Below are 15044 nucleotides of genomic sequence, written 5' to 3'. Positions count from 1 at the left end.
TTTTATATAATTAGCTGAAAATCAAACATCATTGTTTCTATAAAATGCAATAGCCAGGGAGCTTAAGATATCAGTTTAAGATGTAACTCCAACAAATTTTCTTTCTATAGGAGGGTAACTCTAAAAATTCTAATTATAGAACTCCCATTTTCTGGATTGTATATGCTAAATGTGTTGTATTTCTAGGGTAGTTAAGTGAAGTTTTTATGTAACAACTGAATATCTTGAGTTGGTCCAGAGGATTAAAAAAAATAATTACCAGTAAAAATGTCAACTACTACTCTATGTAAAAGCCCTCTTACAGCATTTACTTGATGAAAAAATAATGGCTGATAACAGAAGCCCAGTTTATCTAAGACAGTTTTGGGAAAAAAGGAATAAGCTGTTACAGTTGTTAATATGCAGCACCTTAAGACTTTTTTTCCAGATACATATTTTAAGGGTACTAATTATATTTGCATGTAGTCATATTTAGGAAATGCCTGAATGTGCAGGGTATGAATTATAAACTAGGATTTTAGGATATCACTCTGTAGATGATAGGAAATGATTTATTCTTATTTTTATTTTTATTTTTTGTAGAGATGAGGGTGGTGCTATGTTTACCAGGCGAGTCTCGAACTCCTAGCTTCAAGCAACCCTCCCTCCTCGGCCTCCCAAAGTACTGGGATTACAGGCATGAGCCACCGTTCCCAGCCATGAAGTATTTTTTAGATTGAATCATCAGCTGCATTGACTTTAATATTACCTCTATATTTTTCTGAAACATAGCTCTGTATAGTTGTTTGCTTGGAAGAAAAACTAAAGATGTGAGAATTAATGGAAAGAATTTACTTAATCCTCTGTCCTGATGCTAAACCCTGGAGATGCAAATCTGAAATAATCTGATTACCATTCTTCCGGAGCATCATGACAGTTGCACAGGCTTCAATTATTTTGGTAGATTCAAATTGTTTTTTTTTGAAGGAACTTACCAAAGATATATAGCAGGATATAATTTAAAACAAAAATAATCACAGGTGATTCACTCATGTTACCAGAATTCTGAATACATGTTGGACTGTGGTTCTTTGACCTGTGTTTCCTAGGAAAACAAAAAAGGCATCCTGATACGAGAATTTGAGATTTTTTCTCCAGGAATTCTTACAATAACATTGATTAGGTTGGGCACGGTGGCTCATGCCTGTAATCCCAGCACTTTGGGAGGCTGAGGCGGGTGGATCACGAGGTCAGGAGTTCGAGACCAGCCTGGCCAACATGGTGAAACCCCGTCTCTACTAAAAATACAGAAATTAGCTGGACATGGTGGCTTGTGCCTCTAATCCCAGCTACTCGTGAGGCTGAGGCAGGAGAATCACTTGAACCCAGGAGGCGGAGGTTGCAGTGAGCCAAGATCGCACCACTGCATTATAGTCTGGGTGACAGAGCGAGACTCCGACTCAAAAAAAAAAAAAAACAAAAACATTGATTATAGTTAGACTTTACTTTGATTTTTATTCATTTATTCAACAAATATTTATTTAGTCCTGCTTTATGCCCAACACTTTTTTGGGTGCAAGGAATACATCATTGAAAAAAAAACACACAAAATATCTTCTCTCATGGTGATCACCAGAGATGCGTTAGAAAATTATTCTTTTGTGTTTTATTGTTGTTCTTTGTTTTTGGAGACAGGGTCACCCACGGGCTGGAGTGCAGTGACATGAACACAGTTCACTGCAGCCTTGACCTCGTGGGCTCAAGCAATCCTCCCACTGCAGTCTCCCGAGTAGCTGGGACTACAGGCGTGCCACCATGCCTGGCTAATTTTTGTTGTTGTTGTTCTTTTTTTTTCACTTATTTTCATTCAGAGCCATAATTTTTACATTTTTTGTAGGGATGAGATCTCGCTATGTTGCCCAGGCTGGTCTCAAACTGCAGGGCTCAAGTGATTCTCCTACCTTTGCCTCCCAAAGTGCTGGGATTACAGGCATGAGCCACCGTTCCCAGCCTATTGTTCTTGATTGACCTGGTGGTAATAGTATTGATGTGTGTCCTATTCAATGGCATATATATACACACATATATGTATATGTATACATACATATACATATATACACATACATGTATAGATATACATAGGTATCTATACATATACACATACATATACGTGTATATATACATATGTGTATATACCACTGAATATACACACATATATGTATATATGTGTGTATATATACACATGTGTGTGTGTGTGTATATATATACACAATTATAGCACTTATAAAAATTGACATTGTAGCCAGAAGTAGATTTTAGGACCTGTTTCAAGATGAGAATGTAGACGTTCACTTTATCTAAAGGTTTTTAATATTCTGGTTTTTCTTTTTATTGTTTTAACAATTAAGTATTTATGAAACACCTCAGGGATTTGTACATTAGCTTAGATTAAAAATGCAACACGATTTTTGTTGTTTTATAGTTTCATTCTTATCTATATATGGTATCTAATGTCCAGAATTGTACTTGTTTTTTTAAAAACAAGTTTTTGTTTCAAGGAATTTTGGCTACATAGCTGAGTTATTTAAAGCATAGTATTTATAACATTGTTAGTTTTATACCCTTTTGGAAACAAGTTAACTTTAATAGGAAAAACAGTTTTGCTTTATTGGTTGTGGGTTTGGTGCAAGTAATACCTTTCACTTGTATTCTTATCATTTGTATAGAATCTAGGTCTTCTGATTTTGGATCAGTTCGTCACTACTGAATGAATCAAGTAATAGAGAGTTTACTCATCACCTGTGTGCTTTTTTGATTTTGGGATGTTAGTTGCTTTGTAACACTTATTTCATAAGATTAACAGCTAAGCAAATGACTTGATTAAGACATTTAAATGTATATTAGAGTGCCATGCCATGTAAATGTTGTCATATCATTTAAATGTGCTGATTTTGTGACTGTTTCTTAAATTTGGTCAATTATTAAATATTTAAAAATTCTCTTCCTGATTCCATATGTATATGGAATATATATATATGGAAAATATATATCTATACACATACATATAGAGATATATATATATTTTTTTATTTATTTTTATTTTTTTGAGTCGAGGTCTCTCTCATTCTCCCAGGCTGGAGTGTGGTGGTGCAATCTCAGCTCACTGCAACCTCTGCCTCTGGGGCTCAAGTGATCCTTTCACCTCAGCCTCCCGAATAGCTGAGATTAGAGGTGCAGCCACCATACCCAGCTAATTTTTGTATTTTTTGTAGAGATGGGGTTTTGTTGTGTGGCCCAGGCTGTTATCAAACTCCTGGGCTCAAGCCATCCACCTGCCTCGGCCTCTAAAAGTGCTGGGATTATCTGCCTGAGCTACTGCACCCGGCTCTGATTCCATATTTTATTTATTTTTATTTTTTTTATTTCTTTTTTTGAGTCAGAGTCTCGCTGTGTTGCCCAGACGGGAGTACAGTGGCACAATCTTGGCTCACTGCAACCTCCACCTCCTGGGTTCAAGTGATTCTCCTGCCTCAGCCTCCTGAGTAACGGGGATTACAGGCGTGCAGCACCACGCCTGGCTAATTTTGTATTTTTAGTGGAGATGGGGTTTCACCATGTTGGCCACGCTGGTCTCGAATTTCTGACCTCAAGTGATGTACCTGCCTCAGCCTCCCAAAGTTTTGGGATTACAGGCGTGAGCCATCGCGCCCAGGCCTGATTCCATATTTTAAAACTGTACTTTGCTCTATAATGAATGGAACAATTTAGTAGTGGAATAGATTTATATTTTTAAACCAAATAAATGTGTTTTTCCTGTGTTTTATTTATACTTTTTTAGGTGGCAGCAAATGCACACATTCCTCCAGACTACCTCCTTAAAATTTGTGAGAGAATTGGTCCTTTACTAGATAAAGAGATCCCTCAGAGTGTTCCTGGGGTACAGACATTATTAGGTGTTGGTCGGCAGTCTCTGCTACGGGATGCCAAAGGTGAGATTTTCAGAATTTAGGACTGTGATATCAGAGGAAGGAGTGGAGAGTAGCTTATTTTTAGATTGAGTAAATGTTCCCATGCTTTTCTAAATACTAGTTTTTCTTATCTTGCCAATGTTGTTTTTGTTTTCTTAGTGTACAAGTAAATTTTTAGAGACCTAAAAAGGAGTCCTTTTGTGTAAAAGTGAATATATATAGGTAAAGAATATAAAATACCTTTGTAATCATGGAATAGAGATCTCAAAGATTCCTGCTTTGATTAATACAGTATAAATACTTACAATATTCTTTCATTATAATGTTCTTACTCTTTATTAGTTTTGATAATGTCATCCTAATGATATTGTACTTTTCGTAACAGGTAAATCAAAATTATATGTACAATTTTAATATTTGAACATATTTAAGCAAAAATATCAACCTATCAGTAATTTTTTTTTTTTTTTTTTTTTTTTTTTGAGACAGAGTCTTGCTCTGTCACCAGGCTGGAGTGCAGTGGCGCGATCTCGGCTCACCACAACCTCCGCCTCCCAGGTTCAAGCAATTCTCCTGCCTTAGCCTCCTGAGTAGCTGGGACTACAGGCGCGTGCCACCTCGCCCAGCTAATTTTTGTATTTTTAGTACAGACAGGGTTTCACCATGTTGGCCAGGATGGTCTTGATCTCTTGACCTCGTGATCCGCCTGCCTCAGCCTCCCAAAGTGCTGGGATTACAGGCGTAAACCACTGCGCCGGGCCTCAGTAATTGTTAAATAAGCTTTTCTACTCAGCTGATTTTCAGTGTTTTACAGATTTTTCCCAAGTTTTACCTGGAACCTCAATATGTCAAACATAAAGTGGTATTTGATAAACATAAAAATGTAAAATTAGGCATTAAAGATGCCTATTGGAGTAATAAATACTTAAGGTATAGCAGCCCATTTATTTCTATGTTTTGTTTAATTAGCATACTATTTTAAAAAATCCTAATTCTCCAAGGTAAATAGTTGTGTAATGATACCAGATTTTAAGCATCTCATTTTATAATTTAAGGAAATTCTTAATTGAGTTTATTTGGAAACTTTCAAGAGAGCTTTTGGGTTTTTGTTTTAAAGCCAAGTTATTAGTAATATTTAATATTTCCTTACATTTTTTGACTTAAACATGAAAGAGAAAAAAACACAGCTATTTATAACCAGTTACCATCTGATATGCAGTGCTGTTATCTGTTATGACACAACTGGCAAGTATTTCATAATACGAACATGTACCCAAGTATAAATATGCCTGAATTTTCCCTGGCATACTTGTGCTATAGTTATATCCTTGCTTATACGGTTTTATATGAATAGACGTGTAAGCCTAAAGATCAAGAAGAACTGATGTAAACTTTAAAGCTTATTAATCTGTGACATATTTATTTAAGATTCAAATATGTGCATAAAAAAAGCTTTAGTTCAAGACTAGCTTAGAAATAAAATATCCAGATGATATGTTAAGGTGTTGGGTGGTTACCAGTTATAAATTTAGTTTATAACATGTTCAAATATATGCCTATTATTTTCATTTTGGTTTAATAATTAAAAATGTATTCCAACAAATTAAATTAAAATCAGACATTTGCTTCTGAGACATGGTTAAAAAAAAAACTGCTCTATTCCTTAGCAACCTTTGTTCTTTTTATATAGACTGTAAGAGTACACTATGGAATGGGTCTGCTTTTGCGGCTCTGCATAGAGGCAGACCTCCAGAACTACCTGTAAATTATGTGAAACCTCCAAATGTGGGTGAGTAATATACCTGTGTGTTATAAACAGATTGTTGATTCTTTCCTTCCTGAACTCATTAGGAAGACAAAAATAGGTACCAAAATTAAATTGGAAGCATAAACAAACTGTTTACATTCCTGAGGAGTTTCATGGCTAGTCCAGATTTTTAAAACATTTTTACTTAAAGCAAATACAATGTTTTATAAAAGGTGATCTTTGTTTTCTTTATTTCATTTCATTTCACTTCTTTCTTAGCAGAAACTTCTTTTTTAATATAGTATAGACGTTTTTAGCCATATGGTTGTCTATTTACATGTCTATGTGCTGAGTTTCCCAAACAAAAGTACATTATTTATATGTGTTGTTTTCCAAAATTATAATGATGTTATACATTTTTATATGTCTGTATTAAGACAAAAAGTCACCTTTCTTGGTTCCAGTTTAATGAAATTCACGTCTCATTCAAATTATTCTTGGGACATCTCTGGCCAGACCATTATGAAGAAATACTAGTAGTGGTTCCCAAAGAGATCTAGATACAAAACTATTTATATTAAAGTTCGCCCTCACAAAGTATGTGCAAAACCAAGGTGCTGGGTGAGTAATTGCTCCTCTGCTCCATTACTTTCTCGCTCTTCTAAAAAATTACGTTATTTTATATATAGTGCCTACAGAATATGCCTATAATTTGAAAGGGATGAATTTCAGATAGAAAAATATGAATACTTTTTTAAAAGGAATACTTCTTATACATTAAGCTTATGTAGTTTAGCCTCAGAGGTTAAGTAAATTGAAGCTAGAAATATTTCTTAAGATATATTTAGACAAAATCATTGATTAGACATACATAGGACTTATTCAGGGAAATTGGATACTCTGAAGTATATTGCTAAAAATACTTTTCCATAGCTTGGATGTTACTTGGAAAAGTTGAGTCTCATTGAACATGGTATTGCTAACTTTTTTTTTTCCAAGAGTTGTTTGTTTATCCACCAGAATTTTCCAGTGTTCACTTTGCCTTAAAGCTTTAGTCATAATTAATATATTGAATTGAGATAACTTTTGTTATTCATGCATTTACTTATTTTCAAAATACAGTATTTTTAGCTATACTGTCAACATTATTTTGTAGTGTGTTATGCTTCATGGGTCACATGTGAAATGCTGAAGAGCAACCATTACAATATTAGGTTTACAGGCTTTCTTTATCCCTTCTTCCCTTCTCTCGCTTTTTTTTTCTTTTAACTAAGCATATACTTTCAAACTTCTGCTGGTTTTGTAAAATAAACTCTTTACACTGATTTGAATCCGTTTGTTATTCTTTTAGTAATTGCTTAGGAATTGTCATGGCCCTGGCACTGATGTTTTTAAATTCATTTTAAATCTGGCATGTTATTTGGGGAGGAGCTTTTAGAACAGAGGCAATTCGATCATGATGTATTTTCATGTAGTAACTGGTACTCAAGATGCTTAAGTTTAAGTTATTTAGAATTCAAAGCCTGACAAAAACTCACTAAGATGGATATGAAATCTTTCCAGTTTGTGATTTGAGGCAGTTTTCTCTTTGTGGGTCATAGTTCTCTATAGCTACTTTCAAACCAATCAGTTTTATAGGTTGCCAATCTAAACAAAATTTAATCATGAAGGTATATCTTTTTTTTTTTTTTTTTTTTTTTTTGAGACAGAGTCTCACTGTTGTCTCTTGTCACTCAGGCTAGAGTGCATCGGCACAATCTCTGCTCACTGCAACCTCCCCACTCCCTCGTTCAAGCGATTCTTCTGCCTCAGCCCCTGAGTAGCTGGGATTACAGGCATGCACCACCACATCCGACTAATTTTTGTATTTTGTATTTTTAGTAGAGATGGGGCTTCATCATGATGGCCAGGCTGGTCTTGAACTCCTGGCCTCAAGTGATCCACCCGCCTTGGTCTCCCAGAGTGCTGGGATTATGGGTGTGAGCCACCACGCCTGCCTGGTATATCCTCTTGAAAGTTCTGTTGAATCTTAGAACTATAAAGAATTGACAGTTTTTCGGAAAAAAAAAAAAAAGGAGTTCCATGGTCAAGTAAATGTGGCAAACAGCTTTTTAAAAATGGGGAAAAGTTAAATGAATGGTGTACTTTTCGTAGCTTTTCATATGTTAAAATGCATTGCTCACCTTATAGGGAGCATTTCCCAAGTAATTTAAGCATGGAGGCCAGGCGGGGTGGCTCACGCCTGTAATCCCAGCACTTTGGGAGGCCGAGGTGGGTGGATCACGAGGTCAGGAGATCGAGACCATCCTGGCTAACATGGTGAAACCCCGTCTCTACTAAAAAATACGAAAAATTAGCTGGGCGTGGTGGCACGCGCCTGTAGTCCCAGCTACTGGGGAGGCTGAGGCAGGAGAATGGCGTGAACCCGGGAGGCGGAGCTTGCAGTGAACCGAGATCGCGCCACTGCACTCCAGCCTGGGCGACAGAGCGAGACTCCGTCTCAAAAAAAAGAAAAAAAAAATTTAAGCATGGAAACTCTTTCCAGAATATCTATTAAGATCCTGGAAACAGATCCAAAGATCCTGTAAGTTCCTGGGAACAGATTTGGGGAACTTGGTTATAAACCCTTCTGTTTGCAGCAGAGAAACCCAAAGCTCAGAGAAGTTATTTGATTGGCCTAAGTTATATTGCTTGTCTTCTAAATAGACTATCTGTCATATTCATGGTCAGATGTCACCATATTTTCTTGGTATGACAGATTTATACCTAGAGAGCTCCAAAGATAGAGTATTAGCCATGGTACTTTTTTTAAGTCAACTGTATTAGGATATTATTGACATAAAAGGCTGTCTTTTTAAGTGTGCAGTTCAATAAGTTTTGACAAATTGTATACATTTTTGTGTAACCACCACTACAATAAAATATGGAACATTTTTATCAGCCTCAGTATCGTTTGCTCAACCCCTGGAAACCACTAATCTTTCTGTGACTGACTATACTTCATGTTATTTAAAATGTCATCTAAATTAAATCAGGTAGTAAGTAGCCTTTTATGTCTGTCTGATTTCACTTAGACCAGTGCTTTTGAAATTCATGCGTGTCATTTCATGTGTCAGTAGTTCATTTCTTTTTATTACCAAGTAGCATTCCATTCTATGAATTTACCATAATCTGTTCAATAATTTTGCCTATTATGGATAAAGCTATTATAAATATTCATGTACAGGTCTTTGCATGAATATCTTTCTTCATTTCTTTGGGTAAATAGGTAGTACAGTTGTTGGATCATATGTTAAATACAACTTTAACTTTATAAGAAACTGCCGAACTGTTGTGAAAGTAGCTATTATATGTTGTATTCCCATCAGCAATATATGAGATTTCTAGTTGTCCCACATTCTCACCATCTTCTGATACTGTCGGTTGGTATCTTTTCATGTGCATATTTGCCAGTCTGTAGATCTTTAGTGAAGTATTCACCCATTTTTTAAATTGAGTTGTTTGCGTTTTTTTATTATTGAGTTTTGAGAGTTCTTTATATATTTTGGGTACAAATCCTTTGTATTTTGCAAATATTTTCTCTCAATGTGCAGTTGTCTCCTCCCCTCCCTGCCCCCATCTTTTTAAATTGAGATGGGGTCTAGCTTTGTTGCCCAGGCTGGTCTCAAACTCCTGGGCTGAAGCAATCACCTGCCTCGGCCTCCCCCTGGGATTACAAGCATGAGCTACTGTCCCTGGCCCTATTTTATTACCAGTGTCTTTATTTATTTATTTATTTATTTATTTATTTATTTATTTATTTATTTATTTTTGAGACAGAGTCTCGCTCTGTCACCCAGGCTGGAGTGCAGTGGCGCAGTCTCGGCTCACTGCAAGCTCCGCCTCCTGTGTTCACGCCATTCTCCTGCCTCAGCCTCCCGAGTAGCTGGGACTACAAGCGCCCGCCACCACGCCCAGCTAATTTTTTGTATTTTTAGTAGAGACAGGGTTTCACCGTGTTAGTCAGGATGGTCTCGATCTCCTGACCTCATGATCCGCCTGCCTCGGCCTCCCAAAGTGCTGGGATTACAGGCGTGAGCCACCACGCCCGGCCTACCAGTGTCTTTCAAAGAACAGAAATTTTTGCTGAAGTCTAATTTATCAATTTTGTCTTTAAGACTGTACTTTTTGTGTTTGAATAAATCTTTGCCTAACTCATGCTCACAGAGATTTTCTCTTATATTCTAGAAGTTTTATAGTTTTGTTGTATATTTAGACTTTTGATCATTTTAATTTTTATATCAGGTGTGTGGTTTAGATTGAATTCATTTTTTTTTTTTTTTTGCATATGGGTGTCTAATTCCAGTATCATTTGTTGAAAAGGCCATCCTTTTCCCCATTGGATTATCGTGGCACATTTGTCAAAAAGCATTTAACCATGTATGTATGAGTCTTTCTGGACTCTGCTGTCTGAGTCTTCCAACTTTGCTCTCATTTTCAAAAAATTGTTTTGGTTTTTCTGTTCCTTAGCATTTCCACCTAAATTTTAGAATCAGCTTCTCAATTTCCCCAAAAAGAAGGTACTGAGTTTTTGCTTGGGATTGCACTGAATGTATAGAGACATTTTAGAATAACTGATATCTTGACAGCATTGAGCCTTCTAATCCAGGAACGTAGTATAGCTCTTTATTTTTGTAAATCTTTAATTTCTCATAGCAGCGTTTTGTAGTTTTCAGTGTTCAGGTCTTAACACATCTATTGTGGAAATTTTCCCTAAGGATTTTATGGTTTTTATATAGTTTTAATTTGTATTTTTAAGATTTTTGATTTTCAGTTTGTTGCTAGTAGATAGAAATGTTTTTTTTTTCTTTTTGTTTTGTTTTGTTTTTCTGTATATTGACCTCAGTACATTTACTTACTAGGTTTAATGACTTTTTTCCCTTGAGATTCTTTGGGATTCTTTATATAGATAACCCTGTTGTCTGCAAATAAAGACAGATTTACTTTTTCCTTTCTGATTTTGTGTGCCTTCTATTTCTTTTTCTTAAATTATTGAGCTGCTAGTGCCTTTACTACAATGGTGGATTAGGCCGGGCACGGTGGATTAGGCTGGGCGCTGTGGCTTACGCCTGTAATTCCAGCACTTTGGGAGGCCGAGACGGGCACATCAGGTCAGGAGTTTGAGACCAGGTTGGCTAACATGGTGAAACCCCCTCTCTACTAAAAATATAAAAATTAGCTTGGCTTGGTGGTGCATGCCTGTAATCCTAGCTACTTGGGAGGCTGAGGCAGGAGAATCACTTGAACCTCGGAGGTGGAGGTGGCTGTGAGCCAAAATTGCACGACTGACTGCATTCCAGCCTGGGCGACAGAGCAAGACTCCATATATATATATATATAGGCAAATTAAAAGGGTGAGAGTGTACAGGTTTGCCTTGTACCTGATCATAGGGTGAAAACAGATCATCTTTCACCATTAAGTATAATGATAAATGCCCTTTTTTCAGTTTGAGGATGTTCCCTTCTCTTGCCACTATGCATAGAATTTGTATAATAAATGGACATGTCCCTCTTTTCATTCTTCCCATTATATTTGGAATTATATCAGTAATTTTTCAGGGCATATTTTAACTGGTATTTTATATAAAACAGTGCTACCCAGTAGAACCTTCTGTGACAATGGAGATGATTGCAACTGAGAAATTAAATATTTATTTTATTTAATTTTAAGTAATTTGACATTCAGCAACCACATGTGGCTAGTGGCCACTATATTGGATAGTGTGGATCTAGAGTAATATGGGAACAGGTAAGCTACTCTGGATAGGTGCATAATTTGATAGTTAATTTACTTATTTTACAAATTTGATTTTCTTTTTTCTTCTTTTGAGACAGAGTCTTGCACTGTTGCACAGGCTGGAGTGCAGTGGCACTATCTTGGCTCACTGCAACCCCCGCTTCTGGGTTCAAGTGATTCTCCTGCGTCAACCTCCCAAGTAACTGGGATTACAGGCTCCTGCCACCATGCCTGGCTAACTTTTTTGTGTTTTTAGTAGAGACAGGGTTTTGCCATGTTGGCTAGGCTGGTCTCAAACTCCAGATCCCAGGTCATCTGCCTGCCTTGGCCTCCCAAAGTGCTAGGATTATAGGTGTGAACTACTGCGCCTGGCCTGATTTTTAAGTTTCCTATTTTTATCCTTAGAAACTACTTTTAGCTGTTCATATCTTGATTTTAGCGACTCACTTTAAAGATTGAATTGTGCCAGTTCTTTTCTATGAAAGTTTTACAACAGACTTTGGCCAAAAACAATAAAATTCTGACCTTATCTGGACTTTGCACTATGTTGGAGTATTTATTCAAATGTTTCCGTCGTTCGTATAGTTAATCAAAAAAGTTATTTAGTAGTTTAATGAAATGAAGGTAAGGGAGCATAAGGAAGGAATTTGAGAGTTAATTCCCAGATTCTATTCTCCACACTAACTACTGTAACACTTTAAAATACATGTGTACTTACATTTACCAAGGGTGAATTTCTAGATTTCTTATGGCAAGAGCAAAAATATCTGTGATATTTACATTATTTTAGTTCTAAGTGCCAGTCATGCCATTTCATTAGCTGTATGCTTGACTAATCAAATTGGTTTTGTATTGTACCAAAATTAAATCAGAAGAAGAAAATTGAGCTAAATTCAAAATAGTGTTAATACTTAATGCCACTCAAGGAAATTCTGAGGCATATGTAATTAATATTTGTGGTATTGTTTGAGGTCTTACACTATCACCTATTACTATTTCTTCGTCATTTTAAAGATTAATATTCATTTTAGAAACTTTGCCATAGTTACACTAGAATTTGAAGTTAAAATTTCACACAGACAGTTCTGCTGCTGAGCTGGCTTGTGAGTACAGAAGTAGTTTTAAAAGTATGTTTTAGTTCAACCATGGTGGAAGACTGTGATGATTCCTCAAGGTTCTAGAACCAGAAATACCATTTGACCCAGCAATCCCATTTCTGGGTATATACCCAAAGGAATACAAATCATTCTATTTTAAAAATACAGGCACACATATGTTTATTGCAGCACTATTCACAATAGCAAAGACATGGAACCAACCCAAATGCCCATCAATGATAGGCAGGATAAAGAAAAGGTACATATACACCATGGAATACTATGCAGCCATATAAAAGGAATGGGATCACGTCCTTTGCAGGGACATGGATGAAGCTGGAAGCTATCATCCTCAGCAAACTAACACAGGAACAGAAAACCAAACACTGCATGTTCTCACTCATAAGTGGGAGCTGAACAATGAGAACATATGGACACAGGGCGGGGGAACAACACACACCAGGGCCTCTTGTGGGGGTGAGGGAAGGGAAAGCATCAGGAGAAATAGCTAATGCATGTGGGACTCAATACCTAGGTGACGGGTTAAGTGCAGCAAACCACCATGGTACATATTTACCTATGTAACAAACCTGCACGTTCTGCACATGTATCCCAGAACTTAAAATAAAAAAAAGTGTGTTTAATGTTTATTTGAAGAACTAGTATTGTTGATACTATCCATCATGGTAACAATTTTAGGAATTTTCCTAATTATCATAATCTAAACAGTTTTTATAAAATTACCTAGAAATGGTAGCAGGATGGCTCATTCATTTGAGACTGATAATCAATTTCTGGTTTTTATAGGTACATAGTAGATGTGTATATTTGTTGGGTATGTGAGATATTTTGTACAGGGATACAATGTGTAATAATCACCTGAAGGTAAATGAGGTGCCCATCACCTCAAGCATTTAGCCTTTCTTTGTGTTATACAGACATTCCAATTATATTTTTAGTTATTTAAAAATGTACAATAAATTATTCTTGACTCTAATCACCCTGTTGTACTATCAAATACTAGATCTTACTCATTGTATCTAACTATATTTTTTTACGCATTAACCATCCCCACTTCCCCGCTCTTTCCCACTATCCTTCCCAGCCTCTGGTAACCATCATTCTGCTATTTCCATGAGTTTAATTGTTTTAATTTTTAGCTCCTACAAATGAGTGAGAAGATGTAAAGTTTGTCTTTCTGTGCTTGGCTTATTTCACTTAATATAACGTTCTCCAGTACTAGCCATGTTGTTATAAATGACAGGATCTCATTTTTTTTTATGTCTGAATAGTATTCCATTGCGTATAAATACCACATTTTCTTTGTCTAGTTGTCTGGTGTTGGATACTTAGGTTACTTCAAAATCTTGGCTACTGTGAATAGTACTGCAATAGACATGGGAGTGCAGATATCTCTTCAATATACTGTTTTGCTTTCTTTTGGGTATATACCTAGCAGTAGGATCACTGAATTATATGGTAGTCCTATTTTTAGTTCTTTGAGGAGCTTCCATACTGTTAACCATAGTGGCTATACTGATGTACATTTCCACCAAGAGTGTACAAGGGTTCCCTTTTCTCCAAAACCTCACCAGCATTTATTATTGCATGTCTTTTGGATTTTTTTTTTTTTTTTTTAGACAGGGTCTCACTCTGTCACCCAGGCTGGAGTGCAGTGGTGCGATCTCATCTCACTGCAACCTCTGCCTCCCGGGTTCAAGTGTTTCTTTCACCTCAGCCTCCTAGTAGCTGGGACTACAGGTGTGCACTACTATGCCTGGCTAATTTTTGTATTTTTTGGTAGAGATGGGGTTTCACCACGTTGGCCAGGCTGGTCTTAGATTCCTGACCTCAGGTGATTTGCCTGCCTCTGCCTCCCAAAGTGCTGGAATTACAGGCATGAGCCACTGCACCCGCCCCTCATAGTTTTGATTTGCATTTCTCTGATGATCCATGATGTTGAGCACCTTTTCATATGCCTGTTTGCCATTTGTATATTTTCTTTTGAGAAATGTCTATTCAGATCTTTTGCCCATTTTTAAATTGGATTATTAGATTTTTTTTTTCTATTGAGTTGTTTGAGCTCCTTTTACATTCTGGTTATTTTTATTTATTTATTTTTAAATAGGGTCTTGCCTTATTCTGTCATCGAGGCTGGAGTGCACTGGTTCAACCATAGCTCACTGCAGCCACGAACTCCTAGTGAGCTTCCTGCCTCGGCTTCCTGATTAGCTGGAACTATAAGCATGCACCACCACTTCTGGATAATTAAAATATATATATTTTTGTAGAGATAGGGTCTCACTGTGTTAACCAGTCTGGTTTCAAACTCCTGGCCTCAAGTGATCCTCCCACCTCTGCCTCCCAAAAGTATTGGAATTACAGGCGTGAGTCACTGTGCCTGGCTATATTCTGGTTATTGATCCTTTGTCAGATGGATACTTTGTAAATATTTTTTCTCATTATTTGGGTTGTCT

General features: G+C 36.6%; 1 protein-coding gene across 4 annotated transcripts in view; it reads left to right on the top strand.

Moving 5' to 3' along the window:
- Nucleotides 1-15044, top strand: part of BRWD3 (bromodomain and WD repeat domain containing 3) — a 140375-nt gene that overhangs the window by 12288 nt on the left and 113043 nt on the right. For all 4 annotated transcript variants that reach the window (NM_001441339.1, NM_153252.5, XM_047441957.1 and 1 more), the window contains exons 5-6: nucleotides 3818-3968; nucleotides 5638-5736. In NM_001441339.1, the coding sequence (NP_001428268.1) occupies nucleotides 3818-3968; nucleotides 5638-5736 (250 nt within the window). The remainder of the gene's footprint in view (nucleotides 1-3817; nucleotides 3969-5637; nucleotides 5737-15044) is intronic.

Source organism: Homo sapiens, chromosome X (genome assembly GCF_000001405.40).
Source record: "Homo sapiens chromosome X, GRCh38.p14 Primary Assembly".
NCBI classification, from domain to species: Eukaryota; Metazoa; Chordata; class Mammalia; order Primates; family Hominidae; genus Homo; species Homo sapiens.
Note: the sequence above shows the minus strand (reverse complement) of the source record. Positions and strands in the feature narration are given on the sequence as shown.